Source organism: Homo sapiens, chromosome 3 (assembly GCF_000001405.40).
Source record: "Homo sapiens chromosome 3, GRCh38.p14 Primary Assembly".
NCBI lineage: Eukaryota > Metazoa > Chordata > Mammalia > Primates > Hominidae > Homo > Homo sapiens.
The window spans coordinates 78,718,270-78,738,580 of record NC_000003.12 but is presented as its reverse complement, the minus strand read 5'-3'; the positions used below and the strand labels follow the sequence as shown (position 1 = coordinate 78,738,580).

Genomic DNA, 20,311 nt, shown 5'->3' with positions numbered 1-20,311 from the left:
TTGTGTATGAGTGATAGTGAATAACAAATCACATTTATATAAGGTAAGTAAAAAATAGCTAAAATATATAGAAGGGTTTTATCTGTATCATTTCTTTCAAAAGCAAGTTAAAGTTTTGAAAATCCATAATGAAGATAGGAGAACAATTTAGTTATGCAGTAAAAAACAAAACAAAACCAATAAACCAAAAATAACTATTTAACGCTTCCCATTCCCATGCTGACGAGGTAAAATTATTAGAATGGAGTATGTCATCAGGTCTTTTCCTAGTCCTTTTCTGCTTCCTGTGTGTCTTTGTAGGTTTCTTTGATTTCCATTGTTGGTGTGATATTTTGGTAAAAAGCAGCTGACTCACATCCCATCCAAATCCCCAGTGCCCTTCAGATCCTTCACAAATTTGGCATTCAGCCCACTCCTTGCCAATTGCTTCCTTTCCTCCCAATTCCCACATGTCTCCTTCCTACGCCATCTGCTTCTCCTCCCTTCCTTCGATTAGTGCTTTCGTCTGCTCTTCCAATTTCTTTCATTGTTCAATGTCTTTTGCTTCCTCTTCCCCTCCTCTCCCCTAGAGGAAATTAACATACTTAATACAGCTGATGTCATAAAGCCCCTTTTCCCTAAGAAGTTAAATTTCTGTTTCTGCAAAATAAATACATAGCTCTGTTGTGTGAAGGTCAAAGGAAACCTGAGTAGTAAACCTGAAATAGATTTTTTTGGGGTTCATCTTACATAAAGTGTCAATGCATATTATGTATTCTATTTATTTTCCAAAATAAATTTTCTATTTGGGATTTAAATATGGTAAGTCAACACAACTTTATTGTACCAGTCATTGGATTGAATAAATGACTTAAAAATAATTTTTCCTGTCTATCTTAATTTTTATATTTAATAATTGAAACACTGGGGATTAGTAGAACAAAGCATAGGCTTGGGCATTATAAGACCACATTATAATTTCAGGTTTCAACACCTATTAAATGCCTGATCTTATGGAAGACATTTGATCTCTATACATTTCATTGTTTCCATCTGTGAAATGAATTGTCTAATCATACCTAGATTAGTTCAGTGTGTCGTTGAGGGAATTCAGCGAGAAAATGCATGTTAAATGTCATTGTAAATGGTGACACACTTAATACCTATTAGTAATGGTGTTCTCTTTATTATTGTTGTTAGTATACCTATTTGAACTCTGAATATATTTAGTCATCTAAATCTTGATGGAAAAGGAAAATCCAAAACTACTCATGCCATAACAATTCCAATTTTCTTCAAGAAGCAAGAAGATGATATAAATGTATGTGAACGAAGATCCAGCTTTCTATCTCCTCTGCCTGTACTTCTATCTATATCTGATTCACCACTGTGAGAATTTTCAGTTGCCACAGAATCACTAGGGGTATTTTGGGTGAACATTATGAGTAAGTAAAGTGTTTAGACTAACACTGAAATTAAGAAACTGATTCAAGTTCTATGTGTACCTTTATTGGGCAATGCTATCATCAACTGGTTATTCCACAGGAGAATTCTGTCCTAATGCCCTAAAGGTACCCACCATGTGTAATGAATCAACTTCTTTCCCATGCATCGAGAACAGTTCTAGTTACGTATTATCCTTAGGGGAATTGAGAAATTATGTGATTCAGATGCAAAGTACTGGTTAAGAAAGGCTGGTTTCTCTTCTCAAGGAACATCCTGAAACTTTCCACACACTTGCAATTTTATTTAAATAATTACACATACACTTATCATGTTTGGACCCTGAAACTAGAAAAAAGAAAGCCAAGCATTTTACACCTACCTGTGAAGTCCAAGCACTCTTTTGAAAGGATTGCAGTAAACTAAAGCATTCTCAGTTCTGGCACACAAATTAGTTTAGATGACAATACAATTAAAAAGATAATTTCAGTGAGCATTGGGTTCTTGCTCTGTCTTTTCACTATTCATATGTTACATGTGCATTTGAAAGCTTGCATGCCAACAGCTTGGTATACCGATATATGAGAGTCTTGGCATGTGGTTTTCTATCTGTAATGTTCTGTTCTTCTACCCACTTTGTCTAACACACTCATTTTTCAGATCTCAAAGACAACTTCCTCAGAGGAGCCATCAGCAAAATCCCACCCAAATACCCACACTAGATTTCTTCTTCCTGTTATCTGTTTGTTTTCCTTTTACCAAGTACTTCTCTTATAATCTATTCTAAATTATGATTTATATATTACTTATCTAATACACATAAAACATATGAAAGTCCACCTGTATTCCTCATGTCTGTCTTATGTTCGAAGCTCATGTGTTCGAAAAAGTGTTAAATGAATGAAATATAAGTCAGAAATTTAGTCTTTTAGGGTACTCAGGAATGAAAAGTTGCTAATTTGAATATATATGATTTTGTTAATTTTATTTCCACATACAATTACGTATTTCTTATCTTACTCTCCGACAAAATGGGAAGAGAGTATCATCCACACCATTTCTTTTTTCTAAAACATGATTTTTTTTGGCTTAAAAATAGGAGATACTACACAAGTTAATTATGTGAGTAAATACATTGCTATAAGTGTGACATACTGATATAGAATCTTAGAGATGGAGCTGAGTTGAGAGATTGTGAATAGGCAAGGTCCTTCGTTTTCAGGGAGAAATAGATGCCAAGCCCGTTGGTTTACGCTGAGTCACATAATGGATTAGTGTGGAGTCTCCCATCGTAAGAGTTCTTCCTGGGATTTTTCCCCTGACAGACTAGATCTGATCAACCCATCTAAAATGACACTTAAATTTGATTACGATATATCTTAACAAAAAACTCAACAACAAAGGGTTTTCATGGATTTATTTCATATAATTTTTCCATTTGTTTTGTGTTCTAAATTTAGTATTTCCTATCTTGGTAACAGCATTGAAAATAGTATTTTAAATATATAGGGTTTAATAAATTTCCCTGCTTATTTATCCGTTAGGTATGGGGATGGCCTTATGTTGATTTAATTATTTTGTACATTCTGCATGTTATTACGAACATATAGAAATTCATCTTAAATGACTGAATATTGGAGGTTGTCACACAATCTCATTCAAAAAAGAAAATAAATTGCAGCAATTTAAATAGTAAGTTAAGCTTAATCTATGACCATCTTGGGAAAGGTCTGTTATGTCCAAAGCACATTTTTGAAACTGCCCTAACAACCAGACCTTGGTCAAGTCTGGTCAATTGTTGAAAATATTCAGATAATGATATCTTCTTTGCCTGTTTATTAGGATCCTTATGAGAATCAAACCACAGTAGTCAAAAGTATTTTGAGGACTGTTGATAACAGCCTCATTATAAAGCGTTATTTTAAGTTCTCCTGTCTTGATTTTCAGTTCATGTTCATTCTACACTGAATTTAATAACTTGGAGAGGTGAAAGATATTTAACTTCAGAAATTAAAGCAAACCTTTTGAATGAGATATTTCGTGGATCAAAAAACCAAACACTTGTAAAACTGTAGTATATCCTGTTTTGATCAATGTATAGGTTTACATCAATATATAAGTCTCAATGTGTAAGATATATACCTTTATGGGCTTTATAATGTATAATCTGCATGCCCATTTTTGTCCAGGTCCTTTGAGACATAATTTTAATTCCTTATAAAGTGCTTATATCTTTACGTAAACTGACTCCAGGACCATAGTCGGGGTGCAGTGTGTTTAGATGCAGAGGTAAGGTAGTAGAGACCAAAGATTGCCAGACAAAATATTTTCTAGTTCAACAAATAATCTCTGGTGCTTTTGGGAAACAATATACTATATATTTTCAAGTTTCATCTAAGTACTATAATGAACTTATATATGAATTAAAGTCCTCAGTTTTGATATCATGCCATGTTGACATGCTATCCTACTTTGACTGTTGCAAACTGTTTGTTAGTATTCTCTTAAATCTCCTGAGATGATTCTGGAGGTTTTTTTTTTTTTTTCCCCCAAATGGATTTCCCAAAAAACAAGTCTTTTGGTTTTATTTGTTTGTTTGAGACAGGGTATCTCTCTGTCGTCCAGGCTGGAGTGCTGTGGTGTGAACATGGCTCACTGCAGCCTCAATCTCCTGGGCTCAGGTGATCATCCCACTTCAGCCATGTGAGTAGCTGGGACTACAGTATGTGCAACCATATCCAGCTATTTTTTTTTTTTTTTTGTGGCGGTGGGGTCTCACCATGTTGCCAAGGTTGGTCTTCTGTAGGGCTGGGATTATAGGCATGAGTCACCACACTCAGACCCAAAACAGTTTTGCATACTTTTCCAAAAGTTAGTTCCACTCACATGTTAGTTTCAGTCAAAGTAACATTAGATGACATAGAGGACTGCCTCACCAAGTATGCCTATGCTGCCTTCCACATGGAATTCCGCCAACTCTTGAAAATCACTGAGATGAAACCTGATATGGTTGCATGCTGCTAGTTAGCATCCATGATCTATTAGTCAAAATAGACCTTCCAGAAAGCAGAAAGTGTCTCAGAAATTGGAGTAATCAGCCAAAAAGAAAGTTGTACTTCATAATTCAAAATAATACAGTATATTAAGCAGAAGTGCTGTATTAAAATGATACAAAATGAACACACATGGTCAAATAACAAACCTGCAATAGGAATTTTGGATTAGGTTGCCACCCCAGCATAGAAAGCAGACATGCAAATGTTGTTTCTTCTCTTACTTTTTTCTTAAAATATATGCTTACACAAGCAGCTAGAGTTTCTTCAGTTTCCAGGCACTTTGATATATCTGATCAGGCCATTAAATTTCTCCCAATAGCCAAGGACTAGTGGGATGTTACTACTGTCAGGGAGCACTTTGTTTAATTATAGGTTAAAGTAGTTTGCCAAATTAAAGGCACAATCTTTTGTGGGTTCATGGATGATGTCCTAAATAGTTTATTTAATTCTCAATGTTCCATTAATCAGATGAAATATTTCTCTAAAATATAGTTTTAGAATTTATCTCAAAGAATTGTTTATACATTTTATCTTTAATTTGGAAAAAATATTTAAATATCAATACTTTTTAGTAATTCCCTATTTTTAAAAAGTTTACTTTTCTAATTGCTTGTAATCGTTCTGATTGCTTATGATAGTATGGACGGCATTTTTTTCTTTCTGTGGACATCAAGCAAAATGAATTGTAATCTTTAAAAAAAAACAAATAGTACATTCAAAAGGGCATTTGATTTTACAAGATATTGTAAACAATAGCCTTTCCTTAAAACAGAGTCCAAAATGCAGAAATCAAAGAAATTTTCTTAAGGCTTTTAGTTTTCAATTATTTTTAATCTGATCACTTTACAGGGGATTGAGATTTCCTTTTCATTACTTGCAATTGGTGAAGATTAACATTATTTCTTCATCTTGCCCACATTATCACTTTTATTTAAATATTGTCTCTCAAAGAATAATTCTAAGTTTTATGGTGAGGCTAATATCTCCTCAATCAAATGCTGATTCTGCAATTCTTTTGTTTAAAGGTTAGTTGCTTTAACCAAACAGCTCTTGGTAACATCTGACCACTTCAGTTTTTATCTCCTTAAAACCAAAGAATTTGATAATATGATAAATTGTACACTTGTAAAATAATCTGTTGTGCATTAACAAAATTACTACCAGATGGTACAGGTTTACTCTTCTTAAATCTTACAAATCGAGGTGATCACAAAGCTTTAAAAGCCTATTGCATTAGAAACAGGCTTTTGTTTAAGTCACCTTTAAGAGCATCATATTGTATGGGAACATTTCAAAAGCAGTTGAGCTTAATCTGTATAATACTGGCTGGAAATAATGTAAATTTGTCTCTTTGAGTGGATAGAGTACAATTTACTAAGGAATCCATGATTTCTTATTCCTTAGCCTATTCACATGCATGGTGTCACTCTTCTCTCACCTCGATATATGACATCACTGTATTGTTCCATGCATCATGTATATAAAAGATCATGCCACATTTCCCCATCTTTATTAGGGAAGCTTATAAATATTCTGATTAACCTTTAAACATTCATGATAATAAGCACATGTTTGCATGGGAAGAGAAGAGGCATTCTTCTTCATAGAAATGTATGTGGGATATTTACCTTACAACATTAGTCCTACAGACAACACATGCAAATATGAAATGTAAACATACACATTGTTTTTTTTCTGCTGACAGTTACATGGACTAATGGCCATTAGGTTGGATGTCCAGATTGGTTAGGCTTAAATATGGGGTGTGCTGGAAGGGGGAACTTCAATGTAATATGCTTAAGGAGGTCCATGGATAGCACCTATTTGTTCTTCCAGCCATTCAGTTTGGGGATCTATACGTTTTAAAAATATTGTGAATTTGTAGTTTATGGCGTGAGAAGCAAAGAAAATATAAGCTGTTGTTCTCTATCTCAAAGAAAGCCCTCTATAGAAGCTTTACTTTGGATCTATGTAGAATGAGCTTCAGTGTACTTACCAAATGATCTGGAGCAAGTTTTGATACTCTCAGAGCCTTAATTTTCTAATCCAAAATATAGGAAAATACACCTTGTGAGAATGTTTTCGACGTTAAAAATAATGCATGTAACAATGCTATGTATATAGCTGGTGTTGGTATATCACAGTTCTCATTAATTAAAACAATACCAGTAATACAGATTGTTGCTTAAATACATTGGCACATTTATTAAATTGACCACAGATTCACTGATGCATTTTTCGTGTACTGCAGGAAGAACTGTCAAAAGCGGTTTACACACAGGACATAATGTTTTTCAGATGTTAAGCTTTTGCAATTCTTAAGTTCTTTAAAATTTCTATAGAAACACCAGAGAATTTAAATACATTTGTTATTTTAGTATGGAGTGGTCAGAATTTGAATTTGTCTGCTATAATGCAGTATAAAATAGTGTGCTTTTCACATAAATTTGAAGATATTCAGCATTTTTTTTCAGAAGAGATGACTGAAATCATAAGAATTCTGTATGTCCAATCTCTTAGATTGTGAACAATTCTGATAGTGTACTTTCTATGTAAGTGCTGTGTTTTTAAATGTTAAAACTAGGAGAAAGTTTTTGCCATCACAGAACATATATTCTATGCAGAAGAAAGGCAGGAAATGTCAGATCAAGCTTTTTTCATTGATTTTACTTTGTTCTTTAATCTTCACACTGACTGATATAACTTCTAGTGCAGGCTTTCCCATCCCTAAATGCTGGAACTCTTAAGATCGGTTTATATGGAAGCAACCTAGGATGCACAAGATTCTGATTTTTCAGCTCAAAGTTCCAACAGTATATCCTAGACGTAGGTTAGAAGCCATATAAAACACTCATATCCCTTATTACAATTAATACCGTTTGTATTACATTTTCTGTTCAGCATGCTTTTGTCTTGGCTATGGAATGGAACCATTTATGACTAAGAAAGAACATTCCAAATAAATATCCCTCCAAACAGTTTTTACAATACTCTTTACACAGATCATTTTCTCTTTTATTTTGTTTTCACCAATAACTATAGAAATAGAAATGGTCAGGATGAGTTTATTTTTATTTCTTATTTGTCCATGAGTTAATTATTAGTTCTCAGGAAATAGCAAAAGTACCTATTGATAATTTTGAAGTTTAATGTAGCCCACCAGAAAGCTCCTTTTTAAGCGCTAGGTCAGACCTGTCTTTCTAAGGTCGTATTTTCTTCCTCACATTGAAGAATTAGCCTACTTGCTTCCTCTAAGGATGTATGTAGAAATATTTTAATTCATGTTAACATGTGTATTGTTGGAAGATATGGGATTTATTTATGTTTTGAACGTGTTTTCCATAGGAAATGAGGCACAAATTTGCCAAGTGAGTGAGCTACATTCTAGCATAATCTCGTGTTCAACAAAGGAGGGTGAAGCAACTGGCCATATGGATATTGAATCTCTTACCCTGGTCTGATGAGCCCTAACTTCTGATTAATCAATTAAGCTTGTCACTTGCAAGCTCTTCTTTTTCTCCTTTGACTCTTTGGGATTAAAATACCACAGAATGTGTGTGAGTGTTTACTTCAATTTGTAGCTATTTTAGGAATATTTCTTCTTCTGTAGAATCTTAATTAGTAATATTAAATGCTGTTTATATTTTTGAATAAAAAATGCATTTCTGTAAAGTAAAATTGGTCAATCTATATCAAGGAATCCCTTGCATACCCAACCTTGATTTGACTTTGCCATGGTTATGAGTCTTCTACAGAATGTAAGTCAATGTAAATTTCAAGGGTAACAAGTTATACGTGGTCTCTGGAAAAGGCTTTATCTTAGCAAGCATTTGGTAGTGAGGGAATTTCTCACACTGGACCAAACTATAGAGCTAAGTATAAGAACCCAGAGAGAGGAAAAGGGATTTACTGTTGGCAAAGTATTTTCAGCTGGTGTACTTGTAATTCAAAAGAGCCAAGAGTTTGAAAATAAGCTTTTCTCCCCTCAAATACTATGAACATTTGTCATCTTTATTTCTAGAGTATAGTCATAATTCCCTTGTAGATTTTTATTTCAGGCTGTCTTAGCTGTGACTGTATGTAAATTCAGAATTAGAGCCAGATGGTTGGAAGAGGTGATAAAAAGCAAACCTGGTTTTGTGGGAAAGTGAAAATTGCCCATAAGACTTTGTTTTTTACCTTTAAAACAGCAGGACACTGTTTCATGAGACCTGTGAAGGAAATAATACATTAACTTTAATAGCTATAAGCTAAATCAATTTTTCATATTAAGGCTGAATGCTACCATGTAATCTACCTAGAATTTTCATAGAGGTAAAAATCAATTAGCTTTCTTACTTTTAGAAGATAGCTAGCAAAGGCTAAAACCACTCTTTATATTGCCTCCTTTTATAGGATTCACTTTGGGGTTCTAGTCTTAATAATTTGGGAACCAGACACCTGGGGAAATCTGCTAAAAAGCCTTCACTGTTTCATCTGCTCTCCATTTCATCAGCACTCAGCAGTTGTCTGTTCCTGGTTAATACTATAAATTAGAAGGGGCTTTCCTGGTTGATTGCTTTAGGCTACGTACCTCTGTCTAGCCCAGGAAAATGGGTGTCCAGCAGAAAAATGCCATACCCAAGGCTTCATATTGTCTTTGAGCTACACCTAAGCAAGCAAAATTGTTGTGTTTAAAGAGGGCTGTGTTACTTCTTTCTATTATTACTTATTAAAATTAGGAATCATGAAAAGGATCTCTGGTGATATACATTGGATAGAGAGCAAGATACTAATTTATACTTTCACAAAGAAAATCATCCTTTCCTTTAACTATGTCTGTCTGCAGGGTGGCTCCCACTTACGTGCAATTAGCAACACAGCTCTTCCTGATGTAGTCTATAATCAAATTATCATAGGTGTGCTTCTGCAGCAGCAAACAGCCAACTACCAATTTATCAATTGTTATGAGGAAGAAATGAGAAATTTAGGAGGAGAAATGGAAATAGCAGAGAAGTGCAGCTGCCAGAGTCCTAGGCGGGGACTCTCCCAGGCCTGTGTTCTCAGCTGGCAGCTCACCAAGCTGTGCAAAGAGCCACGTGTTCCCACTGGGATAATTGCTTTTTCTGCATAAGTCTCTTGTTGCTTCTCTCTGATGATCAAGTGTGTTTAAACTCCTGGCTGAATTCATGTTGGTTTTCAAATGGTATTGTAAAGTGTACCAGGAAACAAATGAAACGGGATCATGTTCTCTTGTGTGTATGTAGCCCAGGCAAATATGGGACGCCAATGGAGAGATCCTAATTGCCTATTTTTCCTCTCAATTCCACTCCTAAGAGAGTAGTTGAAAGACCTGAAACAAGTTATGGCTTTTCTTCATGCAATGCTGTCCTTTTTTATGTCACCAGGAATTTTTAGAATGGTCATTTGATTGCTTTCAATTTATCATTCTCATATTTTCTTTACAATGTGTGTGTACTTGCCCCGGTGTCCTTTTGTTATATAAAACATTTTTTGTGCAAACCCCAGGAACATTATTTACACTTTGAGTAGGCTGTAAATGATGAAATACCCTTCACTTGAGAATAGACTAGTGAATAATTTGTAAAATCTAGGTACTTTTTACAGTTTAATTGAAAGCTGACTAATCTGGGTTTTTTTTTTTTATAACCTAGAAGAAAAAACAAAATCTTATGAATATTGGTATACAATCTGTTTTCCTTAGTTTCATCCATCTTGGGGTACAGTGCTGTCATTTTGTGTTATGAGTTCATATTGGACTGGTCTTGAGTTAAAGACAAGTTTACCCGACAGCCTGTGAACGCACAGCATGAAACCAGATCATATCTAATCAAGAGACTCGAGTGGGAAATAATTAAAATAATGCATTTCTCCTTCCTCCTTTTCCTTCTCCTCCTCCTTCCCCTTTCTCTCTCTTTTAGGGCTCTGTGAACCAGAAGAAAATAGGAATAGAGGGAGGTAAGAAATTTTGGGAAAATGAAGCAAGAATCAATAGCTTTTATAAAAAATAGAAAGATCAAAAAATCTTTAATAAACTTTGCTAACCAAGAAGAACTGTGATTTGGCTGAGGTTTATTGTTTATTTAATCTAAAATAAAATATTTGCTTTGATATTTAAATATAAAATCATTTTGTCATAAATACATAGAATTTTAAAATTATTTTGTGAGATTAGTACAAATAAATATATAAAATATACATGTTTATAGAATATATAAAAATGAATTTCTTGAAATTTGTTCTTACACTTAGAAGTATTGGTCACTAGATCAGTAAATATAAGTTTCTCTCTATCAATGATTTTTGATGGTGATGGTTTTGAATCGATTTATGAACAATTTACATTTTTATCTGATAGCTAACTACATTAAAATGTAGGTCTTAAAGACAAAATTATTAATGTGTATGTTCAGAAATATAATTAAACCATAGTTAACAAAAACATGAAATTATTTAATAAGAGATGTAGTTTTTTTCTGAGACGGAGTCTCGCTCTGTCGCCCAGGCTGGAGTACAGTGGTTCGATCTCGGCTCACTGCAAGCTCCGCCTCCTGGGTTCACGCCATTCTCCTGCCTCAGCCTCCCGAGTAGCTGGGACTACAGGTGCCGCCACCACGCCCGGATAATTTTTTGTATTTTTAGTGGAGACAGGGTTTCACCGTGTTAGCCAGGATGGTCTCAATCTCCTGACCTTGTGATCCGCCCGCCTCGGCCTCCCAGAGTGCTGGGATTACAGGCATGAGCCACCGCGCCCGGCCGAGATGTAGTTTTTTAAAGTATTCTTTTTGCACTACCTACCTGGGACTATGACAAGGAAATATTATAAAATAAGAAATACTGTATTTTCTTTTATATTATATAATATCTGAATTATATGAATTATTTTACTTGATTATATATTTTTATGTTACTATGATACTTTTGGGATTGATTATCCAATTCTTTGTCTGTCATTTGTACAAAATAATTATGGTACTAGCAATGTTTTTGCTTAATTAGAAGGCAATAAAGCATGATTATTTTTGAAAAATAGGATGGCATGCATTAGAAAATATGAATGTTTTAATCTGAACTGTCTAACATTAAAGGCTGATATTATTCTTGTAGCCAGATTGGAAAGTAATGGGTATTACTTTACCTCCTCCTATTCTCTGCACCCTCCTCAAACAAGTTATTTTTTCTGGATTGTTACTGTTGTTGTTGTTGTTGTTACTAATTTGATGCCAAAATTTAAAGAAAGAAAAGCCGTTATTGTTGTGACTCTTCTTCAAATGTTTCTGTTGAAAGGAGTCCTTAGGGATCATCTAAAACTGTACTGCAGCTGATTTCACCAAGGGGAATGTCTGGGGGCTATGACTGGCCATCTGGGTTACCTGCATCTCATTGTTGTTAAGAAGCCACGCCAGGCACATCTGTAGTTCACAACAGCTTGCTCTCTATTCTCTAGGTCAAAGATCCAGGCAGAATTGACAGCATTTCTATGAAGAGATATTCTGCTCAAGGAGAGTTAGTGGTGAATTGTTTAAGGATGATACGCTAGACTATCATTCAAAACCTCTCATCTCACTTAATTTGCAAAATAGTATGAAAACGGGTTGGTGGTAAAGAATCAAGTTTTTTTCTGAAAAAATAATTTCTAAACTCAGGTGCTTTAGACAACTTCATTCTTCATGTGAATCCCACTCGTCAAGCCCTTACTACTGTAAATCAATATTTTCAAACCTTTAATCTTTTAGAAAATTGTAAAAATTTAGTACTGCATAATTTCTTATTGGTATGATGATGCCTATGTGTGTCTTATCTGTATTAGTTGAAACATATTTCTCTTTTAGCATTATAATCAATATTCTATTATTCATTGTTTTGATGTATTTTTAAATAGTATTTTTAGTAAAGCACAGATTTTGCATGTAAAATATATTAAAGGAAATGAGATAAATTCTATGACAGTTTGGTGGTTAGCAATTTGAAATCATCTTTGAAGCCCTTAATATAATTAGCGGTTTTGTTTTTGGTCTGTTGAATTCAAGTCACATTAGGTTAATGTAATTAAAAGCAGAAAAGAATTTGTGTAGCCAAACTAGTTAATTAGCTCCAGTCTGTTCACTGTGTTAACCTAGAGGTGTATGGATAACATTGTGGGGGTGATGTCTGAAAAAAAAAAAAAATTCCTGTGTAACAGATACTGCAAATCATCTGACTTGCTTTAGGGTAGAAAATGAAGACATCACAAGGAGTTCATTTTAAGTTCATCTTTATTTCTGATTGTGAGCACTGATTTCAGGGTAAGCTGTGTACTCTCGGATAACCCAATCAAAAAACTTATGAATTTATGTTTTAAAAGGGAACTGAACAAAAAAAGTTTACTGAATTTACTTTTTTAAAGGCAGTATATTTCTTTGTGTGCAAAGTTAAATTTTGTTTCTTGTATTCTGGAAATAAGAATACTGATGCTAGTTTTTCCATGCTAACCAGAGACATAAAGTGGTTTTCTCCACTTTTGGTAGAAAAGCTACATCTTAAACCTGATTATTCTCTATAATTATTCAGTAAGCAATTCAGTAAAGGAGATGAAGGCAGGATTTCCTACTGCTCAGAGAAGTCTTTACCCCTAAAAAAAGTAGTCATTTCTAGTTTTTTACAGGGAAAATTCCTGATATATAAAAATCATATGTATTAAACACATCAAGAATTTTTACATTTTGACATCTCTAAAACATTTTTTTTAACCTGAGACTATTACAAAGAAAAATAGGAAGTTTAAATATATTTGAAACTTTAAAATTCTTTATCTTCTTTTCCTCTCTCCTCTCTGTCTCTTTCCCAAAAAGGAGCAAGACCAGTGGGACATTTTTTTGTTTTGCTTTGCTTTCATCAAGTATGTTTATAGCTAAGGGCCTCTTTAAGCACTGTCTAGCGCTTATGGAAATGTGGGCTTCTAATGTGGTTACTATTGTGGGCTGGTAAGGTATATGGTAATGAGGAAGGAAGACCTCTGCCTTGAATTTTTGACATAGGCTAAATGCCAGCATATTGTCTGAAAGTTTAACATGTTCTGCTTCTCCACTACCCGGATTATGTTAATTGAATAGTGCTCCAGCAGTTCAGTGTTTAACATTGTGTCTGTTCATTACACAAACTAGTTTTTGATAGGTTTACAATTCGACTGTCAAATCCAGCCGCAGGAAGAGACCTGCCAAGAAATATTTTAGCTTATTTTAAATAGTGCTGTTTTCACATTTATAGTGTTTTGTTTGTGTTAGACATATTTTTCTTCCCTATGTAGACAGAGAAAATGTTCATTTTTGGCTTACATAGGGGCACCACAGTTTAAAATGTATAAACTCACCCTAAATTTACAATCAGTATTTTTATATGACTCAACATAAGATGTTGATTTCTTTTTGCTTTTTTTGTGTGTGTGACAGAGTCTCACTCTGTCGCCCAGGCTGGAGTGTAGTAGCATGATTTCGGCTCACTGCAACCTCTGCCTCACAGCTTCAAGCAATTCTCCTGCCTCAGCCTCCAGAGTAGGTGGGACTACACGCATGTGCCAGCACACCAGGCTTTTTTTTTTTTTTTTTTTTTTAGTAGAGATGGGGTTTCACCATGTTGGCCAGGCTGGTCTCAAACTGTTGACCTCAGGTGATCCGCCCACCTCTGCCTCCCGAAGTGCTGGGATTACAGGTGTGAGCCACTGTGCCTGACCAAAATGTTGATTGTTACTAGTAGGCACTGCTTGAAAGTGGGTATGTTATATTCGATCAGGGTCATAGTACTATGTTGTTTTTCTGTTCTTTTGTTTATTGAAATGAACAGCCCACCATGTATTCCATATTTGTGACCGTTGAGAGTAGAATTATGGCCTTTTAAGATCCATTTCAATGTAGTCATTGACATAATGCCAAAATTAATTTGAATTTATGGAAATTGAAAACTGGCATGTTTCTTCTGTTTCTGAAGTTCATTTGCCCTACTTTGTGGTTTGTTCTTTCACTTTTACCAGTTTCTATCTCTATCATCCCTGAGGCAGTGTCTCCCAGGCTTGGTGAGGCTTGTTTATTTTTTCATTTTTTGTATCATCTACTTTGGGGTCCTTAACCATTATTGTCAGTGAGTATATAACAGAATGTTGTATTTTATAATGAAATTGGTTTATTGTTGAGATGGGAAATTTATGCGGGAGAGTATACGAATCTGGGAAATCTCAGCAGTTTTTCCTTAACTACAATAAATATTATTTGTATTATCTAATTGTATCCCTTCCTTCCTTTTGTCTTTTGAATCCAGCATTTATTCTTAGTCCAGAGCTGGGTCTTTAGAACACAGTTTCTCAATCCCTGCGTTATAGACAGTTTGAGTCAGATAATTCCTTGATGTGTATTTCTGGCCTCTACTTATTAGATACCAGTAGCATCGCCCCCCACACACCCTTCAATCCCCCAACCCCACACCAAGTTCTGACAACAAAATATGTCTGCAGACATTGCCAGATATCTCCGGGGAGAGGAAGGGTGATTGCCTCCATTAAGAACCGCTGTTTTGGAGGAAATAATAATGATCTATAAAGCCTAAAATTTACTTGTTTCTAAGTCTTATGCTGTGTCAATGCAAATATATATTTTCCTGATGAAACCAGTGGAAGTTGTTTAGTAATTACAGTCATGCATTGATTAATGACAGGGTTATATTCTGACAAATGTGTTGTTAGGTGATTTTATTGTGTGCGACCATGATAGAGTTTACTTATACAAACCTACATGGTACAGCCCTGTTACACTCCTAGGCTATATGATATAGCCAGTTCCTCCTAGGCCGCAAACCTGTACAGTATGCTACTGGATTGAATACTGTAGGCAATTCTAACACAACGGCAAGTTTTTTGTGTATCTAAATCTATCTAAATGTAGAAAAGGTGATGCACTGGAAACGATCTTACAACAGCCGCAACATCACTAGGAATTTTTCAGCTCCATTATCATCTTATGGGATCGTCATCATATATGAGGTTCATCCTTAACCAAAATGTTATTATGTGACCTATAATTGTAATATTAATAAAAAGCTACTGGATTTAGCCTAAGAAAGGAATATTGTTTTTGATTAGACAGATCAAAAACAATATTAAATCATTAACTGCGTATGTGTAATAAATAATTATAATAATAATGTGCAGGCATTTTTCTAAGTGCTTTATATGGTTTATTTCATCATCTTCATAATATCCTTAGAGTTATATATTAATAGGATTCCCATTTTAGAGTTGAAAAGCAGAGATACAGAGGAACTAATATCTTGGCTAAAGTTACACATATATAATAAAAAGTAGTCTGACTCCAGAGCCCGTGCTCACTTTGCTTTCCTAAGTATATGTATCTGAAAATTGATCTAGGATTTAGAAATCCTTTTTAAAAATGTCACATTTTCGTATATATTTTGTTGTCTTTGGGTTTTACCTAGGTAATCTTGGTAAAGAATACCTTGAGTAGAAAAACAAAGGTGCTATTTAGTTGACCTTATTTAGTCATTGATGATTAATATCTCTGCTATTGTTACAAAAGTGCATTTTTCTCACTAAAAATGTTTTGCAAATGTTATATTTTTCAGGCCTTGATTTGTTTTATATTGCTGCATTGATATGAAAGTTTTACATGTATGAACACTGTGTAACCATATGCTTTTAGTCATATTATGTTACTAATGAAAACAGCTTTTCATGATGCTTATCCACTAACATTTCTTGTAGAAAAATTTGACAGAGTAAACAAACTCCAGCTTTGTTTACTTACAAAGGATAGAGAAAGTATTTGTAAAATGCCTGGTGGGTTACTTTCAATTTACACAGCCAATGTGATTTAGTTGTAAAAGATGGCTGTAAAATAAATTTTTATTGAAAAGAAACAGTTTTTCTATCTATATTCAATACCAAACACATGGATATGTGCTCCCAAAGAATAGGTCTGATAGATTCAGTTATACAATTTTTTTCATGATTAAGCCAAGTGTAATATATAATTGGAGCTATAGTAATAGGGTGTATACTACAAATTCCTTAGGCCTTTATAGCTGTCTTTGAATTTTGGTTTACCTCAGCTATTGTTTCCTCCCATTCATCTTGAAATTGGAATTTTTTCATGTCTGTGAATCTCCTGGCAGTGCCCTCATTACTCTTGTTAACTAAATCCCCCTCCTTCTCCATTTGTATAGATTCTTTCAACATATAATAGCATTGGGCTGTAATATATAATGTTAATTGGTGGCCCACGTGTGCATAAGCAAGTTGATTTAAAACTCTACATTCCCAAGTATTTAAGATTTGTAACAGTAAATTAGTACTGTATTATACTGAAGCTGTAGAAATAAATCTAAGCTGTTGCAAATTATTTATATGTTATTATCCTTTGACTCACAATTTTTCTATGTATTTGAATATGTCTTAAAATTGTCCTTAAAGCCTTACATTTTATAGTAGATAAAAAACATTGAACACTTACTCACTCTTAAAACAAAGAGAATGTTAAATTATGTGTTTGTTTCCTCTTATTTTGGTATATCTTTTATGTATCATTGTACAATTCTTTCAGCAATGAACTTGTCTCCTAAATATCCAGAGACTTCAAGGTTAGATTCTGAGGCATAAGAAGAGGCTCGGCGTGCTATCCAAAGTTATAGAACTAATAAAGAAACATCTAGCTACACCTCAGCTCACTTAACTTCCATTTCAGATATTGGATTTTTCATCTTCCTCTTTTCCTGTAATAATTTTGTTTCCTTAGGATTTTTGGAAATGCTTATGCGAGTGTTCCAAAATCAGCGCATGAAAGGTTACAAAAGTTCTTAGGAAGATTTTGATAAGATGATACTCAAATTGTTCTGGACCTCAAGAACTCAAGTTTTTTAAACTCAAGTTTATTAAGCAGTAATTAAGATAATAAGGATGTGAGCTGTGCATTTATTTTCATTTGTACAACTCGTATAGCCAAAGACACATATCTTTTTTTTTTAATTATACTTTAAGTTTTAGGGTGCATGTGCACAACCTGCAGGTTTGTTACATATGTATACATGTGCCATGTTGGTGTGCTGCACCCATCAACTCATCATTTACGTTAGGTATATCTCCTAATGCTATGCCTCCACCGCCCCCCCCCCAACCCCACAACAGGTCCCAGTGTGTGATGTTCCGCTTCCTGTGTCCAAGTGTTCTCATTGTTCAGTTCCCACCTATGAGTGAGAACATGTGGTGTTTGGTTTTTTGTTCTTGTGATACTTTGCTGAGAATGATGGTTTCCAGCTTCATCCACGTCCCTACAAAGGACATGAACTCATCCTTTTTTATGGCTGCATAGTATTCCATGGTGTATATATGCCACATTTTCTTAATCCAGTCTATCATTGATGGACATTTGGGTTGGTTCCAAGTCTTTACTATTGTGAATAGTGCCATAATAAACATGCGTGTGCATGTGCCTTTATGGCAGCATGATTTATAATCCTTTGGGTATATACCCAGTAATGGGATGGCTGAGTCAAATGGTATTTCTAGTTCTAGATCCCTGAGGAATTGCCACACTGTCTTCCACAATGGTTGAACTAGTTTACAGTCCCACCAACAGTGTAAAAGTGTTCCTATTTCTCCACATCCTCTCCAGCACCTGTTGTTTCCTGACTTTTTAATGATCGCCATTCTAACTGGTGTGAGATGGTATCTCATTGTGGTTTGGATTTGCATTTCTCTGATGGCCAGTGATGATGAGCATTTTTTCATGTGTCTGTTGGCTGCATAAATGCAAAGACACATATCTGACCTAAAGTCTTCACCTTGTTTCCACTTGTTGTGTGACATTGCACAAGTCATTTCCTCCCACAAAATTTTTACTATTTACAAGGCATTGTAACAGGGGCTCCCATGAGGAATTACATATGCTTCTCTGCCTCAATGTTGATACTAAGGTCAGGGGACTGACACTTGGAAGCATAATTAAAACATATTTTTACAATGCGCATACCAGAGGTATGTGGGAGAAGAGGTTATACTTTTCTGAGCCACTGTTCCCTTTAGTGAAAAGTGAGGTTATTTTAACACTTCCCAAACAGTCTCACAGCAGGGTTATGATAAAGACAAAAATTTAAATGATATATTTATATTAAAATGACTTTATGAAACATAAGATAATTAGTAATATAAACCAATAGCCTTAAGTTGGGTATACCTTTAAGAATCCCACTTTGATACCTCCCAAGGAAATAACTGCACATATGAGAAAAGATATATACAAAAGAATGCTGATTTCAGTGCTGTTCATAAGCGGGAAGAATGAGATTTCTAAATTACCTAGCACTGATGTCTTAAATATCTATCAGTATGGGAATAGTTAGGTAAAATGTAGTAAACCCAAATGTTAGAATTGTATGTAGCCTTGGAAATTGATGCTGAGGATCTGTGTAAAATTTCTTGAACATTTAAAATATAGTAATGCCTCATACTTTTGAAAATGCAGCTTATAAAACAGCACATATCATGTGATTCTACTTTAGAAAAATTATGTGTATGTATATATGTTTATATGTGTATATGTATATATAAACATATATTCATGGTAAATGTGTATATATATGCATGTGTGTATGTGAGTGTGTATGTATACACACATAATTGAAAGACGGATGTTCAAAAGTACTAACAATAATTAACGTGTTTTTTTTGTGTGACGTTTTCTTTATATTTCTCTATTTGAAAATTTAAATATGTATGAAAAAATAAAACAATTTAACACATAACTGTTACAAACCTTATAGAAATATTTTAAATTGGATAACAGACTAACAATAGTAGTTTACGTTCAACAACAGTATTTGGAGTGACTACTGCGTGCAGGCGTCATTCTGGTTATGAGGGATAGAATGATGAACGATGCAGAGAAAAATCCCTGGATGGGAATCTGGAGCAGGCTGATCATTTGTTTATGATGCTACTGAAAAAAAATCAAGTTCTAAACTCATAAAAATTAAAAACTTTGTTAATGTTTTGTTTCCTCTAATATTTAAAGACTTGGCCAGAATACCTAGTTTGGATGCCTGGATTAAAATAAAGCCATTTAGGCATTCAAAACTGTGAGGGGACCTCACCTTTACAAAGTGGTAGTTTCAATGAACTCCATAATGTATTATGAAAAAAATGTGCTAGAATGTTTCCCTCCCTTCTTCCCTCCCTCCTTCCCTCCCTTTTTCCCTCTCTCCCTCCCTCCCTCTCTCCCTCCCTCCCTCTCTCCCTCTCTCCCTCTCTCCCTCCCTCCCTTCCTTCCTTCCTTCCTTCCTTCTTCCTTTATCTGGTTGGTAACTATGAGGTAAAAAACCTCTATGAATAAACATTCTGGAAATTTTCCCTAATAAAACCTTTCTAAGATCAGGACATTGTAGATATTCATGGGTAATTGAACTCAACTCTCATCCAAAAGCGTGTTAAATTAAGGATAGTCCAATCTTAATTCATGTTTAGTTTCAGTCGACTTCTTATACTGTATGTCTGCTTACATTTAAAATTAATTTTTATTCAATTAATTATATGTTCAAGAGTGTACCCAAGCATGTCTTTCCTGATGATTTACTGGGACCTGTTCATTCTCTGCCTCTCAAGTCCCCAAAAACCAGCTTGGGTGGCAGCAACATCACGTTTTTAAGGAAATAACAGGTTCTACTATGTTTTCGCAATGAAGATACATTCTTTAAAGCAACTCTGGCAAATTAAGTTATTAGAGACATTTTAATTAATTCATATAATGCTAGAATACATTTTCTTGAAATCACTTATAGCTAATACATATTTCTATATT

General features: G+C 34.4%; 1 protein-coding gene across 18 annotated transcripts in view; it reads left to right on the top strand.

Moving 5' to 3' along the window:
• ROBO1 (roundabout guidance receptor 1) overlaps nucleotides 1–20,311 on the top strand; it is a 1,170,760-nt gene that overhangs the window by 1,029,418 nt on the left and 121,031 nt on the right. The window lies entirely within an intron of this gene.